The sequence below is a fragment of the Homo sapiens genome, chromosome 6 (genome assembly GCF_000001405.40).
Source record: "Homo sapiens chromosome 6, GRCh38.p14 Primary Assembly".
Lineage (NCBI taxonomy): Eukaryota > Metazoa > Chordata > Mammalia > Primates > Hominidae > Homo > Homo sapiens.
In genome coordinates, this window is record NC_000006.12 from 105,271,564 (window position 1) to 105,288,977 (window position 17,414).

The 17,414-nt window shown below is 41.6% G+C and overlaps 1 protein-coding gene and 1 long non-coding RNA gene across 2 annotated transcripts in view; one reads left to right on the top strand and one right to left on the bottom strand.

Annotated features, from left to right (window-relative positions):
* Window positions 1-1,654: 1,654 nt before the first annotated feature.
* Window positions 1,655-17,414, bottom strand: part of PREP (prolyl endopeptidase) — a 129,865-nt gene continuing 114,105 nt past the window's right edge. The window contains exons 11-15 of the mRNA NM_002726.5: window positions 17,195-17,331; window positions 13,923-14,017; window positions 10,888-11,019; window positions 10,183-10,339; window positions 1,655-6,875 (exon numbers count right to left, since the gene is read on the bottom strand). Coding sequence (NP_002717.3) covers window positions 6,581-6,875; window positions 10,183-10,339; window positions 10,888-11,019; window positions 13,923-14,017; window positions 17,195-17,331 — 816 coding nt within the window. The 3' untranslated portion in view covers window positions 1,655-6,580. The remainder of the gene's footprint in view (window positions 6,876-10,182; window positions 10,340-10,887; window positions 11,020-13,922; window positions 14,018-17,194; window positions 17,332-17,414) is intronic.
* On the top strand, window positions 7,453-10,193 carry PREP-AS1 (PREP antisense RNA 1). Its single transcript, NR_199037.1, has 2 exons — window positions 7,453-7,515; window positions 9,058-10,193. It is a non-coding gene; the product is annotated as a PREP antisense RNA 1 (long non-coding RNA).

Consider the following 17,414-nt stretch of genomic DNA (forward strand, 5'->3'; position numbering starts at 1 on the left):
GTGGTGGTGGGCGCCTGTAATCCCAGCTACTCGGGAGGCTGAGGCAGGAGAATCGCTGGAACCCAGGAGGTGGAGGTTGCAGTGAGCTGAGATCACACCACTGCACTCCAGCCTGGGTGACAAGAGGGAAACTCTGTCTAAATAAATAAATAAATAAATAAATAAATAATAACACTTAGTTTAAAACACATATATTGTACAGCTATACAAAACTATTCTTTTTTCATGTATATATATTTTTTTAAACTTTTTTTGTTAACTAAGACACAAACACACACTTTAGCCTAGGCCTACACAGGGTTAGGATCATCAATATTGCTCATTGTCTTCCACTTCACATCCTTCCAAGGTCTTCAGGGCCAGTAACGCTCATGGAGCTGTGATCTCCTATAACAGTGACTACTTCTGGAAAACCTCCTGAAGGACTTGCCTGAGACTGTCTTACAGGGTAGCCTTTTTTTGTTTTTAGGAGTATACTTCAAAATGATAAAAAACTATAATATAGTGAACACGTAAACTAGGAACAGCTGTTATGATCAAGTATTAGGTACTGTACATACTTGTATGTGCTAGACTTTTATATGACCGGCACTGCAGTAGGTCTGTTTACAACAGTATCACCACAAACACATGTGTGTTGCACTGCGACATGATGGTGGCTATGATGTCATTAGGTGATAGGAATTTTTCAGCTTGTTATAATCTTATGGGACTATCATTATACATGCAGTCATATGCAGAAATGTTATATGCTGCATGACTGTATCTTGGATGAATTGCAGCATTTCACACTCCAAGGCAAGACCAGAGTAGTGACAGAGCAGGGGGTGGCCCTGGTGTTCAGGTTCCTGCATCTTCTGGGGCCTGAGGTTGCAGGCAACCTGGTCCTCTGGAAAAATGCCAATCACAGCGCCAACACCTGAATGTCCTGGGGAAATAACTCAGTGCTACCTGTATTAACTTCCATCATTTTCTCTGGAGTTTTAGGGTGGTTATGTTTTGATGCTGATTTGGTTTTCAGGTTAACCTCAGTTTGACTCTCCATAGAGGTGACTGGAAGCTCTTTCCTCTGATGTTTCTCAAAGCCTTTCATACTTTGGAACTGGAAGACACTATAATATTGTGTCAATTAGATGTAAATCAGTTTCTAAATCATATATTACCATTATGATATTTTGTTTATAATTTCTAGATTATTTGGCATTAATAACCTCCACAAATGGCCACCAAGTCATTTTCTCTTGCACAGTAAACAAGAGCTTCCTTAGTCACTTACTTGGCATTGAACGAACCCTCCTTGCCCGTGCCTCCCCCTGCCTGCTTCTCAGTGCTGCGGTCACGTGGCTGCAGGAGGCCCTGAGCTCCTGAGCAGAGCAAAGCCTGTAAGGTGGATGCAGGGCATATTCTCAGGACACCCTATCAGCCGGCCTGATATTTGATCTACAGGAGCAAACTCAGAGAGAGAGAGGGACAGTTTTGCCTGCAAATGTGAACCCTGACCTAAAGACGGCTGCTCAAAATAGCCCTCATCCTCTTTGCCTAAGCCTGATATGCAAGCTTTTATCTCAGTTGCCCCTGGTCACCTGCCTTTCTTACTTGACTCTGCAGTTCTCCAGGTGGCTATTCCTGGATGGCACTCATCCAGAAAGGGTCATTGCTCTTTTTTCTCTTTATTTCACTACCAGAGATTATTTCGATAACATTATGATTTACAAACCATAAAATTCATACATTTCAAGTGTACAATTCAATGACTTTTTAATACATTTACCAGGTTGTGCAACCGTTACTGAAATCCAGTTTTAGAACATTTTTGTCATCCCGGTTAGATCCTTTATGCCCAAGTAGTTAATTACCATCTTCACCACCAACTCCAGGTACCCACTAATCTACATTCTATCTTTATAGAACTGCCTTTTCAGGATATTTCACTTAATCAGACTATACCCAGTCATTTGTGTCTGGCTTCTTTCACTTATAATGTTTTTGAGATTCATCCATGATATGGCATGTCAGTGATTTTTGTGATGGTGGGTTCCTGCTGCCCCCACCCCCAAAATTCCTTAAAGGTGCTAAGCAACCTGCTCTTTGAATAACCACCCCGCTTTTCCCTAGGCTCTCCTGCTGTCAGTTTCCCACAGTGTTGTCGGCTTTCATCTCTCAGTGGCTTCACCTGACTGAGCTGCCTGCCATCTCTAGTGTATCCTCCAGGCCTCGCCTGGCTCCCTGTTCCCCCCACACTGGCTTCCTGCTCTTCCTCCAAAGGCCTGGCTGGTTCCTGCCTCAGGCTCTGCCCATTGCTGCTGTCCTCACCAACCCCCAAAACGTTGCCCATTGTTTGTCCCCTCATTCCGTTCGGGTCTTTGTCCGAATGTTGCTTCCTGAAAGAGGCACCCTGACCTCGACTCAAATAGCATTCCTTCTCACGGACTATTCATTTGCCCCACTTTGTTTCTTCACAGCTCTTTTTATTCCTGTTTCTTGTTAATTCCTGAAATTATACTTTGTTTATTATCTTGTTAATAGACTCGTGGGTATCTTAGTCTGTTTAAGCTGCTATAAGAAAATACCATAAACTGGTGGGTTGTCAACAACAGAAATTGCTCTCTCACAGTCCTAGAGTCTGGGACATCTAAGATCAAGGCACTGGCAGATTTGGTGTCTAATGAGGGTTGCTTCCTGGTTCATAGGTGACACCGTCTCCTGTGTCCTCACATGGTGGAAGGGATGGGGCGGGGGGGTCTCTCCTTGGGCTCTAATATAAAGGCACCAGTCCCATTCATGAGGATTCCGCTCTCATGACCCATCGCCTCCTGAAGGCCCTGCCTCCTAATTCCATCACTTTGGGATTTACGATTTCAACATATACATTTCGGGGAGGACATAAACACTCAGACAACAGCAGTAAGAGAGCTGTTTCGGCTGGGCATGGTGGCTCATGCCTGTAATCCCAGCATTTTGGGAGGCTGAGGTGGGTGGATCACCTGAGGTCAGGAGTTCAAGACCAGCCTGGCCAACATGGTGAAACCCCATCTCTACTAAAAATACAAAAAGATTAGCCGGGAATGATGGTATGCGCCTGTAATACCAGCTACTGGGAAGGCTGAGGCAGGAGAATCACGTGAACCCAAGAGGTGGAGGTTGCAGTAAGCTGAGATAGCGCCATTGCACTCCAGCCTGGGCCGTAACAGCAAAACTCCATCCCAAAAAAAGAGTGCAGTATCCAAGGCCCAGCTCCTGGGGTTACTGCCCTGCCTGCCCACCTCCTGGCTGGGGAACTTGGACCTTTGCCAAATGGGGAAAAGGTATTATGTGCTTCCTAAGGTTGTGTGAGGACAAACATTCATCCACACAGAGTGCTTGCAGCGGGTGGCACAGGGTAAACATGAGCAAGATAATTTACCATCTGTCTCCTCCCTGGAATATCAACTGGATGAGGGCAGGACATTTTCTCTCTGCACCTTCAGCCCCTGAGATATGGAGGATGAGAATGGCTCAATGTTCCTCCTTCAAGGGCCTCAGTCCTCATCCCACTGGCCTGACCACCCCAACAGTATGACCTTTGCCTCTTTACAGCAACCTCCACAGCTTTCCAGCCTGTCCTTAACCTGCCTTTGAGTCTTTGCAACTCCTTCTGGGCATTAGCTATGTGGCCTGCTGGGAACTTCCAGAGGCTGGTAAAACTGACAAACCTTGAGAGACTGGTGACAGGCTTCCTTAGTTGAAACTTATCCTTTTCAAACTTGTAGCACCATGTGTGTGTAGCTGCTTAAGCTTTAGTGGGAGTATTTAAGAAACATGATTAATTGGAAAGTTTTATAATATTCCAGGTAAGTCCATAGTGAACATAAATGTGACTTTATCTTGCTAAGGTAACAAATGCTCTGGTGTGCTTAGCAGGGCCTTGTGACAAAGCAGTGAGGCCACCTGTGCAACATGTACAACTTTTTCTTTTTCAAAACAGTCCTAAAAAAACTAAACATATAAGTCCTCTGTGATCGAGCAATTCCACTACTGGGTATGAATCCAAAAGAAAGGAAATCAGTATATCAAAAAGATATCTGCACTCCTGTGTCTACTGCAGCACTATCCACAACAGCCAAGATAGGGAATCAACCCACGTGCCCATCAGCAGATGAACAGATGAAGAAAATGTGGTACATATATACAATGGAATATGATTTAGCCATGAAAAAGACTGAGATCCTGTCATTTGCAGCAACATGGATGGAACTGAAGGTCAATATGGTAAGTGAAATAAGCCAGGCACAGGAAGACAAATATCCCATGTTCTCCACTCATGTGGGAGCTAAAAAAGCAGGCAGAGAAAGGGAGGATGAAGAGATTAATGCCTACAAATATACAGTTTGAAAGAAGACCTAGTGTTAGATCAGTAGGGTGTCTATAGTTTACAATAATCTACTGTGCATTTCAAAATAGCTAGAAGAGAGTAATCATAAGAAAGAGCCAAAGGGCAGAGCACAGGATACAGAAAAGTGGGATCAAATAGAGAAGAATCCCTTAGAGTTCTGGGTAGGAGCCCAATCTCAAGTCTTATTTCTAATGTTTAAAGCTCCCCCTACTCCCCAAAATACCTTTAGTTGGTGGGATTAGTTGTCCTGTGAAAATCTAGACACAAAAATTAGGTTGGAAAAGAGAACTCGTAACTGGAGGCCAATCATGCTAGGCATTAAAAACGTATTACTGTATTCCTCCTCCTCCTCATCAGTTGCTAAGTGACATTTGGGATTTGAACCCAGTCCTGATATCTGAAGCTCACACACTACACACTGTATTTTCTGCTGTAAAGCAGACCTCAGAAAGTATGGTTAGATTCTGTGCAACCTTGAAAATGCTCTGGACTCAGTGGGTCCAACTCAGCTATTTGTACTTCACACCACACAGCTAGTCTAGGAAAGAGGCTGCCTCTGGCTTGACCATGCAAATGTATTTTCTTTCTTTCCTGCCATGCTGGTCAGCAGTTACACCAAAGCTAGCTAGTATCAGTATCTGAGTAGATGGTGATGACGACAGAGTCTCAGCATGCAACACTAGCTACTGGCACACTTTGTTTCCAGAGGAGTTATGGTGAATCTTATACTCAATGACAACTGTATTATGTACCGTACTAAATAGTAACGGAAAACATGATTCCAGTAGAGAAAAACCAAGCCATATAGCTGTCTTTCAATATGCTTGGTATGCAGTGATATGCTTGATAGAAAATGGTATGTCTAATTTTTGACCATAACTTGAAACGTAGAGAATGAGAGAGTGCTCTTAAAAGCACATACATATACAACTTGGAAGATGGGACTTACTTGGAAAAGTACAAATTATTGGAATAATGAAGTAATCTTTTAAGCTATTTTATATAAGGTTAAGATACTATATAAAATAATAATTTTTATCATATCATCTGATAAAGCAAGACAAAGGAAAAAAAACTGTTTTAAGTTAGATCAGCATTTCCCAAACTGATACTCAAAGGAACATTGTTTCATGAAATGTTAAAATATATGCCTTGAAAAAAATTTTATGGATGAAAGTTTAAGGAATAGTATATCTTAAAAATCTTGGGGGTGGGCAAACCAAAACTTTTTTTTTTTTTTTTCCAGTAAGTAAGTATGACTATTTCTATTTCCAGGAGTGATCTATGCAGGAGAAACAGCTTGGGAAATGCTGAAATTTCTGACTGTAAGAAATGCTTGGATATATGTATCTGTTTGTTTGGATAATTTACTCATGTGATCTCTTGGAACCAAGGATCCTTGGATCCAAGGAACTCTGATTTCTAGGAATACTTTGTAAACAAATCAATATACAAATAGGTGAATAATCTGAATTTTCCAGCCCAGTGATTTTTGAAAGGAGGCATCCAAACCAAAAGAGCCCCAGATCAGATTTTTACCCAACTAAGTGGTCAGTGTTTGTTTATGACAGTGAACCCCCTCTGACAGCTTCATCACCTCTAACAAACAAACAAACAAGGGAGACAGAGTGGATGAACAACTTATTTTCAAAGCTAACAAACATTCTATGACTTAACTGCTTGAAAACTAACTTGTTGCAGAAAGGTGAAATGCTTTATTCTCACAGAAAACTCCACTTCTGGAGTTGCCCCTCAATATGAAGAAACCGGAAGTAAAAGCCTGTCATTCTTAAATAACATTTATTATTGTTGCAAAGAAGTCTTCTCCATGAGAACAGTTCTCACATTTATTTAAAGATATAGAGGTTATGGATATAGATAAGTATGCCCGACTATGATCCTTAATTCAGCAATCTAATATTCACAATGTGTTTGTTGCCATTTAGCTATTTATCCCAACATGCCCTTAAAAAAAACACCAAAAAACCACATGTGCCTAGACAGGGTGGAAAAAGAAACACCAAGGCCTTGCTAAAAAGGAGAAGCCTAAAAAAGATAAAATTCCCACGGCAGTTCTGTTCAACTGTAGCCTGTGAGTGCAGGAATAATGTTCCCGTGGGGAAGCATTATGCCCAGTGGTTTCTTGGTGTCAACGTGGGAAAGCCCTTGAGGTTTTCTGTCGCTGTCAGGAGGAAGCACGAAAACTGTTTATGGAATCCAGTCGACGTTCAGGCACCGCGCGATGAACGCAAACATGTCTGAGACTTCCTCTATCACTTTGGCTGTGGGCTTCCCCGCCCCGTGGCCCGCCTTGGTGTCCACGTGGATAAGCAGGGGGTTGCTTTGCTTCCTGCTGCGGCCCACGATGTACTGAAGGGTGGCAATGAACTTCAGGGAGTGAAGCGGGACCACGCGGTCATCATGGTCAGCAGTGAGGAGCAGCATGGACGGGTACTGGATGTCATCTGCTTCTGGTAACTTCACATTATGCAATGGAGAGTATCTGGAAGGCAAAAACACCTTTGTGAGGCTGGAGAGCAACAGTAGAGTTTTATGGCACAGGGACCTAGGTAGTTAATTAGCAGTGAGGACTGCAGTTAACTAGTACGTGAGTGACCACCATGGACTGTGCCTATGCGTTACCATTTAGGCCATGACTGGCAAGGGCTCCTGGAAACTGGGGAGCTGTGTCATTTATGTGGCTCCAACTTTGAAAGACTGTAGGAAGGAAGCTCACAGGTCTGTTGAAACAACCCAAATCACAGGCATGCTTACTGTCTCTTAAGGTGAGTAGTTTCATATTCTCTAGGCTTTTTTTTTACTGCTACAAAGTGGAGTAATAATTGTCATTATAACCACACTCAGTGGTTCAAAAAAAGTCCAAGCCTTTCTTTTGTTGAGAAACTTGAAATCCACAGTATAAAGGGGCTTGCTGCCCCTTTAATAACATCTATAAAGCCTTTATTCCAGGCTCAGTTTTGCAATCTTAGGAAAAGCACATGTCCTCTCTGGGCCTAGTTTCTTTGTAAACCGAGAAACCTGGATGGGCTGTTGAGCCTCCTGCTGGCTCTCAGTCCGGCAGAAAGCAACAGACTTTGCCAGAGGAGGAGGGCACCTTCCGAAGTACCAGGCAAGTTTCCTGGGTAAGTTAACAAAAAGGGTGTTAAGTATAAAAGTAATGTTGATTTTAACAGTGACTGATAATAGTTGAAATATCTGGATATTTTTTCTTTACATTCTCCTAATAGGGGTGTCATGTTTTTCAATGTATTTAATATTTATTAATGAATAAAATCACCTGTTTTAGTAGAGTTTTATTTTGAAGGGTAGGTAAATAGTGAAAACAGTAAAAATTCTGCTCAGTTAACCAACGTGAGGCCAAAACATTCTTGGGCTCAGTTTCCCACCAGATAAGATGGAGATCTGTTTTCTGATCTCATTTAAGAGTGTCTTTTGACCAGCCCCATTCTTCCAAATATGGGTTAGTTCTAAAAAGAAACAAGTTTGGAAAACCCTGCCTGTTAATAATAACAATCTCCCCCTTGGAGATTCACATGCAATATTTATACATTATCTGTAGGAAAAAATACATTAGGCTTTATTTATCGCCCAGCCATTCAAACTTGGAGCTCTAGCTCTTTTTTTGGGGAAACACCTTTTACTAATTCTGGATGGTGCTCCATGAGGCACAGCCCAGGGGGCGGGGAGGTGTGCTGGGCTTGAGGAGCTCCCTGTAGGACCCTTCCTAGCTAGTGTGGGCTGAGTTCCATGCTCATTTTACCAGCCGCAGGTGAAATGCAGCCCTGTGAGAGCAAGATTTGAAAACTGAAGAAGGAACATCATGGAGAAAAATATTTAGAACTTTCTTTGTTTTTAAATTAAGTTTGAAAGTATTAGGTGTCATCTAATATTCTTTTGCCTTCAATTAACTCAGTATTTTCAAATGAGTTTAAATAGGACTTGTTTCCTTACGTGCAAATTTTCTCTAAGTTAGATATTCCTTCTTCAAATATATAGCTTCTACCAATGTGTGTCAATGAGGCCTGCATGTACTGAAAAGTAATAACTTTCATAGTGAACTTTGTTTCCCCTTAGAGAATAGAGTTTAGTAAAGTATCCAGTTAAAAAAAATTCAGTCATTTTAAGTATATTTCAAACTGGAGAGGCTAGCCATAAAAAGCAAACAAAATGAAAGAGCAAACTTTAGAAACTTGGCCGTGTGCGGTGGTGCGCACCTGTCGTCCCAGCTACTCAGGTGGCTGAAGCATGAGAACTGAGAACTGCTTGTACCCAGGAGGCGATGTTGCAGTGAGCCGAGATGGCGCCATTCCACTCCAGCCTGGGTGACAGAGCAAGACTCTGTCTCAAAAAAACAAAACTTTAGAAACTAAAGTTATTTTCATCAAAATTTGTAGTTTACTAATAGGAGGAACAGGCTTCTTGTGCCAGTCTGAGAGCCAAACACTGGTGATTAAAAATAAAACTCTTACATATGGGGAATGAAGGGCCAAAAAGAAGTTTTAATGTCTGTTTACTCATTGTTATCAGCATAGTGGTTGCAGGATACAATGGAAGTTGTGTAAGATTTCAATAATGCAACTTGCAGTTTCAAACATATGTAGCTATATTGAGCATAAAAGAAGTTTAATTGTATTTGAATATATTCCTTTTTTTTTTTGAGACAGGGTCTTGGAATGCAGTGGTGTGATCTTGGCTCACTGTCCCCCCAGGCTCAAGCCATCCTTCCATTTCAGCCTCGCGAGTAGCTGGGACTACAAGCATGCATCACCATGCCCAGCTAATTATTTGTAGAGACAGTACAGTATTTCACCACATTGCCCATGAAGGACTGGTCTTGAACTCCTAAGCTCAAGTGATCTACCTTGGCCTCCCAAAGTGCTGGGATCACAGGTATGAGCCACCATACTCAACACCCCCTTCCCCTACTCTTGACCTGCCATTTCAGGAGCATATATTCTTTACTTAATTTAGAAAAGGAAATCCCATATATTTGATATAAAGTATAATAATACCTTTTGATTGTTACAGTAACAAATTACCACAAATTTTAGCAGCTTGAAACATCACAGACTTCTTATCTCACAGTTCTGTAAGCCAGCAGTCTGGGTTGGCTCAGCTGGGTTCTCTGCTCTGGGTCTTCCAAGGTCAAAGAAGGTCAAAGTCAAGGTGTTGGCTGGTTGGACTCTTACGGGGAAACTCTGGAAAAAACCTACTTGCAGTCTCGGGATGTTGGCAGAATTTAGTTTTGTGCGGCTGTGGGACTTAGGTCCTGTTTCCTTGATGGCTATTGGTTGGGGGTTGCTCTCAGGTTCTAGAGGTCCCCCTTCCTCCATTGTCAAAACCAGCAATGGCAGGCTGAATCCTTTACAAGCTTCCAATTTCTCTGACCTCCCTTTCTGCTGCATCCCTGACTCCAGCCAGAGAATGTGCTCAGCCTTTAAGGGTTTATGTGATTTGGGACCCCTCAAGAGATAATCCAAAGAGCAGCAGATGAATATCCTGCTCCCTGACAGCAAGCAGTATCTAGGTAAGTGTTTGAATAACCAGGGTAGGAATCTTGGGAGGCCATCTGTAGAATTCTGCCCTACCACATTTTTTGTAGTTTGTTGCTTTTGTTCAAGACCATATTAAATCAAGAAAGACAAGTAGGTAGTCCCATCTCCTCTCCAGCAGATTATATGCAAATGCAAGACCCTGACAGTGACAAAGCTCAAGCACTAATCCTGCTGTGACTGTGTTCAACTTTATATCAAACCACTAACAACATATATATGTCAATAAAACCTTACTTGACAAGCCATTCAAAGTGTTGTTTGCTGTCCGAGCACCCATAATCAGTGGTCCAAGCATGGCCGATGGTATATTTATGAAACTTCAGCATGTCCATTACTCCAACTTGGGCAATAACACAACCAAAGAGGTCAGGTCTCTGATTTGCACAAGCAGCTAAAAGCCCAACGTAGAAAGAAAAGGGAGGCAGTCTATCATTAAACATCTACATAAACAAGGCAAGGCAATACTTACTTACATGCTTCCAGAGCCCTGGTTGCATTTATCCAGAGCACAAGAGGAAACCATCAGAAATCACCTGCCCAATAGCCCCAAAGCTCCCCACCCACTCTGAGATCTGTCAGAGGGGGTGGGGATTCTCATCAGTAATGGAGCTTTACTCCCCAAAGTGAATCTTGAAAAGCTTGAGGACTTTCTGGAAACCCTGTATCCCCTCCTCCCATCCCCACTTGCTTTCACAGTGATGAGGGAGATTAAGGGACTTGTTCAAGATCTCAGGACCTGCCCAAGGCAAAATAAATAGGGTCTCTTCGTATGTCATTTATCAGATACCCAAATACAAATGGTACAAATGGGTTTTGCTCTCCTTATACCACTTTGTGGTCCTATCCACAAAGTTAAGTCAAGAGCTGCCTACAGATGGTGTATCTGAAAACCCCAAGAGGGCTAACTAGTAAGTGCAATGAATAAAATCCAGTACTCACCCACTAAGAGGCCTCCATTTGAACCTCCATTAATAGTCAGCCTCTTGGGAGATGTGTAACCTTCCTTGATCAGATACTCAGCAGCACACTGAAAGTCATCAAAGCAGTTTTGTTTGTTGGCCAAGATACCACCTACAGTGTGCCAAAGTGGAAGATAGTTAATTAACAAAACATAAAAATAAGTTTAATCTAATGGGAATTCAAATGATAGAGCACGGTTTCAAATACTGATTAACTTAAAAACCATGGGTTAACACTGCATTTAAAAAAAAGCCTCAATTTAAGTTCTGTTATGCACTGTGGAAATATATCATCAATACCACAATGCTAATCCATATGGTGGATCTGTATTTTTCTAAAAGCCTCTAGAACTTAAACGGGAAATGCCCCAAAGGGAACAGATGGTCGGTTATGAGAGATGTATGATAATGAAAGGATAGAAGCATGGCATCACAAGGAACCTGTATTTTGGGAAGCTGAACTTACAAATATAAAGCAAGACCTGCAGCAGTGTTTAGTCCTCTAGGTTGCACCCAGCACCCGAGCCGGAGCTGGCTGTGGGAGTGCTCGTGTCTCCCCTCCCCGCGAAGACGGAGGTGGAAGCGCTCTGCAGAGGCACGCTTCCCACCCCACCTCTGCAGGAGTCTGACATGGTCGGTGATGGGGAGAAAGAAATTCCCCAGTCTTGCCCTCGGTTATTAATGGAAAGAACAAAAGGAATTGGGTGGTGAGGTAGCGTTGCGGCAGAGCATCACATTATGTTTTCTCAATTCCAGAATGAAAGATCTTCAACGTTTCCCCAGAGAATCTGGGCTTTATCATCTGCAAATCGTTCCAGTGTATTAAACCAAACAAATTACTTGGAGAAACATTTACAGGGCCATGAAATATCTATAAGTAAAGGCCAAAAGTCAAAAGCATGTCCTCAAAGGAACAGATGTCTGAAATAACGGCCTTTGAAATGAACAAAGAGCAGACACAGATCTAATTAGATACTTGAGATTAACCACTTCTGCTGAAATTTAATTAAAGATAAAGCAGTCCTACTGAAATGTTTTTCATATCAAAACAAATGTTATTAAGATTTCAGTAAGAAATTACCAGTGAATTTAGAACAGCTAGGATTACTTAGTTACTAGGAATAACAATATTTTGGGTATATGACTACATTTTAAAAAGAGCATTAAATTTTAAAGTCAATTAACAGAATGGAATTTAGATTTACCAGTGTATCATATCCTAGGCTATAACTGGAAAAGGTCTATTTCTGGTCCTTTCATCATGGCCTAAATTTTGAGGAAGTTTATAAATCAGTCTAAACATAGTCTACTGTTAGCCTTAGTCAATCTTGAACCTGCCTAATCCCAAGACTGGAAAATAACTTGGTTCTAACTAATAAAAAATGAGAGAGCAGACTAGGACCAAATTACTCTTCCCTCTCAGAGCATGGTGGACATCTGATGACCAGAGGGGTTTTCTGGAGAATAATCCAGTTATTTCAGGAGAGGATCCCAGGATCAGGGGACCATGAGTAGGGGGTATGGTGCATAAACTACATACAATTTAAATAGGAAATCAGGTGAGTCAAGGGGTTCAGAATTAGCATACATATTTGGGATCAAACATATGGTATACAGAAATTTTATCCTCTTATCACTCATCTTTTAATATCAGTTTCACAGTATGATTTTAGTGTAAACTCTAATATCAGCTCAAAATTATGCAATGAATTCTTTGCAGTTTCAAAGACAGTCACAATCAGTAGTTTCTGGGGATGATAACTGGCAACGATGGACCAGATGGCCGGCCAGGGGCACTCACTTTCACTAAGGTGCACTTGAGGAGTCTGCTGTCAGCCCCTGGGGTGCATGCTGGATGCCCGGGGGTCATTTCTAAGCCTTTCCTGCATATGGTACCTAACAGGTACTTAATGGAAATCTCTTTACAACAGGTTTACCCTCATGTTCGCTGATTTGATTTGATGCAAAAAAAATCCAGAGCCTCAGGCCTCTGGTTTGGGATGGCATGGGAAACAGAAGAGAGGTACAGATATCTTAAGGGTGGTCTCTGATGCTGAGGAGACCCCTCTCACCTGGAGCTGCTGACCAGCCCCAAGCACTGGGGTCCTGGTAGGCCTTATGATAAATGATGGCTGAAAAGACTGGGGGAAGCATAGAGCTGATGGAGGTGAAGGTGCTTTCCCATGTCCTCCCTCCCCCAAAGACACAGGACAAGTGAAGAACCTCTTCAGACCACTGGTTAGTCTATGAATTCAATTTCAGATACACAAAAGCCTGGGTGAGGGGTGCTCCACATAGAAAGAAATGGAAGAGATGCAGCTTTAAAATACAGACGATCATTCAAAAAAATTGTGACCATTTGGGGTATAAAGTTGGGTATTAGTCAATCAGCTAGAATACATGCTTCAGGAGGCCACAGAATGGAGACGGAATAAAACTAGAAAAATGATTGTTTTTGTGTCTAAAACTAATGCACGACAGAGTCACAGCAGCAATGCTAGGAGGATGAGATTCCTCAGCAATGCCGGGAAGATCTGAGAAAACCAGCAGGAGGATGCCCACACTGGGAACAGAAAGCTCCAAGATTGCTCCTTTCTCTTAAGAGAAAATGACCTGCCTTGACTTCTGTTTCAAGACAGTCAACTAATGCTGAACTATAAAAACAAGGCTAACAAGAGACAGAATAAATACCAAAAAGCTCTCCGAGATTCACTCCTGACAGTGATAATTAAAAACACAACCTATGAGTTGTTAAAAAACCCCAAAATAACAAGGAATGCTTCTGAAAAATATGTACTTCATCTATTTATTATAACAAAGGAAAATAAAATGTGAAAAGTGAGTTGTTTTTAAGGGGGGAGTGGTGCCTGTGTCTGATAATATCCTTGTTTTTCATTCGTCTAGCCAAAAAGCTTTCCTGCTCCAAACCCCTTCAGCTCATTCAAACAGGAAGGATCAGCACAACCTTAGCTTTGATTATGTCAGACTTGTGTTTCTGTAGAGAAAACACCTCACCTTTATGCCACGTCTCTCCATATTCGCCACCTCCTCTGATGTTGGCCACTGCCAGGATACCACCCATGTGTCTCACAAAAATAAGCCTGGAAACACTGAGAAGCAGTAAAAACAGTTAACCTTCCATTAACTGCCTAGTGAAGACCATGCCCTCTCTCTCCATCTCAAAAAAGTGTATGCCCAACAACACTCTGAGTAATATCATCTCAATAGGAGCTTGACATTTCTTTTATTGCTTGATTAAAGTGAAAAACACATAACTTCCTGTTAATACTTAACTGCAAAGCTAATATATATACATATTTTTTGAGACAGAGTCTCACTCTGTCACCCAGGCTGGAGTGCAGTGACACAATCATGGCTCACTGCAACCTCCACCTTCCGGGCTCAAGTGATCCTTCTGCCTCAGCCTCCTGAGTAGCTGGAATTACAGGTGTGCGCCACCATGCCTTGCTAATTTTTGTATTTTTAGTAGAGATGGGGTTTTGCCAAGTTGGTCAGGCTGGTCTTGAATTCCTGACCTCAAGTGATCCGCCTGCTTTGGCCTCCCAAAGTGCTGGGATTACAGGCGTGAACCACTGCACTCAGGCAAAGCTAATATGTTCTCACAAGCATTCAGTGTCTTATTTTTCTACGTTGATAAATATTTCACTACACCATTCATAATATAAACAAACAGAGAAAAAACAAAACACTGCCAGCCCAGGCATGAATGGTGCTGGGCTCACAGGAGGACCTGATAATGGTTCCTTTTATCATTTTTTGAGTAACTTTCTCCAAACTGTTTTAAGTTGGAAAAAAGAAAAAGCTTTTTCTGGAACATGGATTTTTAAACATGTATTCCAGTTCTACAGAAATTTCTATGGTAAATTAGCCAACACAGGGTGTGCAAGAGGTAAAGGAGATCAGGAATAGAGTTCTCAGGGCTGGAGGATATTTTCTCGAGATAAGCAGAAGAAACTATAGCACAAACCCTCTAGGAAAGAGCATTAAGTCCTTTGGAAAATTTGGATTTTGTTTCCCCCTTCTCTTTCCACTGTGACCCTAAAAGTACTGAGTGACATGCTGTTAACTAAAATTAACTGTGCTTTGAGAACTATTTCTGAGAACTGTGTCACTCTTTTAGCAACTGGGGAAACCATGGGCTTCTATAAACTGAAGGTTCTCAATGGTTTGAATGCTAATTTCCTGAATATTGAGGATGAACAGGAAAGGTCAGATGAATTAGGGTAGATGTATCAGACCATCCAACCACACCTTATTAGCCAGATTGATGTTTGATCACTTGGTCCTCTCTTCAAGACTTTCATGCATCTCTGATGGTCTCTCCTGAGACTACTATTAAATGCACTGGGTTCTGGGATGAAAATGGCCCCGGGACTCATCTCTTGAATCCCAACAGGATCCACTCAGGAATCAGTGTTGTCTTGATCCTGGACCACCTGCTGGGACCAAGGGAATGGGGCTCAAGGTGACTCATTGTCCACTGATGAAACACGTGTTCACTGCCCCACACTCGAGCATCACTGTGAGTTAAAACTGAAGCCTGCATTTTAATACTTTGAGTGATATAAGGATTAGGTTAATATAATAAACCCCAACATTTATCGTCTTGCTTTTTTTCAAGGGGCAAGGTTGCTCTACCTGAGGCTTGCATTCTTAGACTAATAATCACAAAGAATAATATGGCATGTAATATTAACACATAGATACCAATGTGTTAATATTACATATTTGTTATTACAATGATAACAAATCTCGTTGCCTGGGAAACTTTGGAAAGAGATGGGAAGTCCTCATGTCTGGAATGTTGCCTGGTATATGGCGCTGTCAATATAGAATGAATGAACAGCAACCGTTATGACACTTTTCTAACTAGTTTCCCTTCATTTACTCATATGATGATGCCACATATATCTTTCGAAAATATTGTTCTACATCGTGATTTTACACAAAAACCTCCCATCAGCTCCTTGCTAACAAAAGGATAAATGCAAACTCTTCTGCCAGATATTCGAGGTCTACAATTTCATTATAAATCACTTGAGGGCAGGCATCATATTTCATACTTCATTAAATCTAAAATAATGAGCTTCTACAGATATTGAGTGCTCAAAACAAAGTACCAGTGTTCTTGTATCCAACTTCAGGACAGATGGTTGAATCTATTCTGAATTTATGTCCTGGTAGTCACCAGTCCATGAATCTCTTCCCAAACAGAAAAGATCCTGGATGAATCTGTGAATCAGATTTCATATGGGGTTCTATTTAGAAGTTGGCTCAAAGCTAGTCTTGCTGGTGGGAAACTCCTTGTTTTTATTAAAAGTGCTCAAAGCAAATTCCACTTTATACTAGCAATGGGATATTAAAATCAAGTTTGCAAATAACAGAGAAGATATTTATACCAACAATAGCAAACATATAAATGTAGAATTTTCTCCCTGAACGTAATTATCTGGGAAATAATCACAGAAACAGCACACAATAGTCTAAAATAGATGATGTAACAGAGTATACAGAAAACATTTATGGCTGAACGTTAAGACAGTCTATTTTAAGACTCTGCTGGTGAAAAATATCATCAGCTAAGAAATCATTCCCTCTGAAGAGAATACTGAAGGTAGTGCGGTGGCAGCAAATGACAAACACTGAAGAAAGGAGCTTCCTTTAAGACCTTGATTAATACAAATCTTCTGTAGTCACGCAGCCATAGCCTCCCAATCCAGTTCCCAAACAACCTGTTACACTGAGGACATTTTTGGTTGTTTTTCAAGATTAGCTTGAAATGATCCTTCAATTCCTGGTCAACATTTCAGATAGTTAACACATAATCCTGCCCGTCTATGAAAACAAGCAGCAAGAATTTTGTAGAACTGTAATTTGAGATGGAGTTTCGTTCTTGTTGCCTAGGCTGGAGCGCAGTGGCGTGATCTTGGCTCACTGCAACCTCTGCCTCCTGGGTTCAAGTGATTATTCTCCTGCCTTAGCCTCCTGAGTAGCTGGGATTACAGGCATCCGCCACCACGTCCAGCTAATATTTTTCGTATTTTTAGTAGATATGGGGTTTCACCATGTTGGTCAGGCTGGTCTTGAACTCCTGACCTCAGGTGATCCGCCTGCCTCAGCCTCCCAAGGTGCTGGGATTATAGGTGTGAACCCCCACGCCTGGCCAGTAATGTATTTTAGAAAGTTGATTTAGTAGAGCACTCTGGTTTGTTTCCACTATATGGAAAAGATAAAATACTGGCACTCTGAGTGCGTTCCGAGCTCACCTGTAGTTGGGTGTGATGGATATGTTGAAGCCGCCATAGCCATATAAGAAAGCTGGATGAGAGCCATCCAATTTTATGCCTTTTTTATGCACAATGAACATTGGAATCTTCGTACCATCCTTGCTAGGGTAGAAAATCTAGAATATAAGAAAGCAGAATATAAGATTTAGCATTACTTAGTAGATACTGCGTGCTTTTAAATGGGAAAAATAGTAAATTC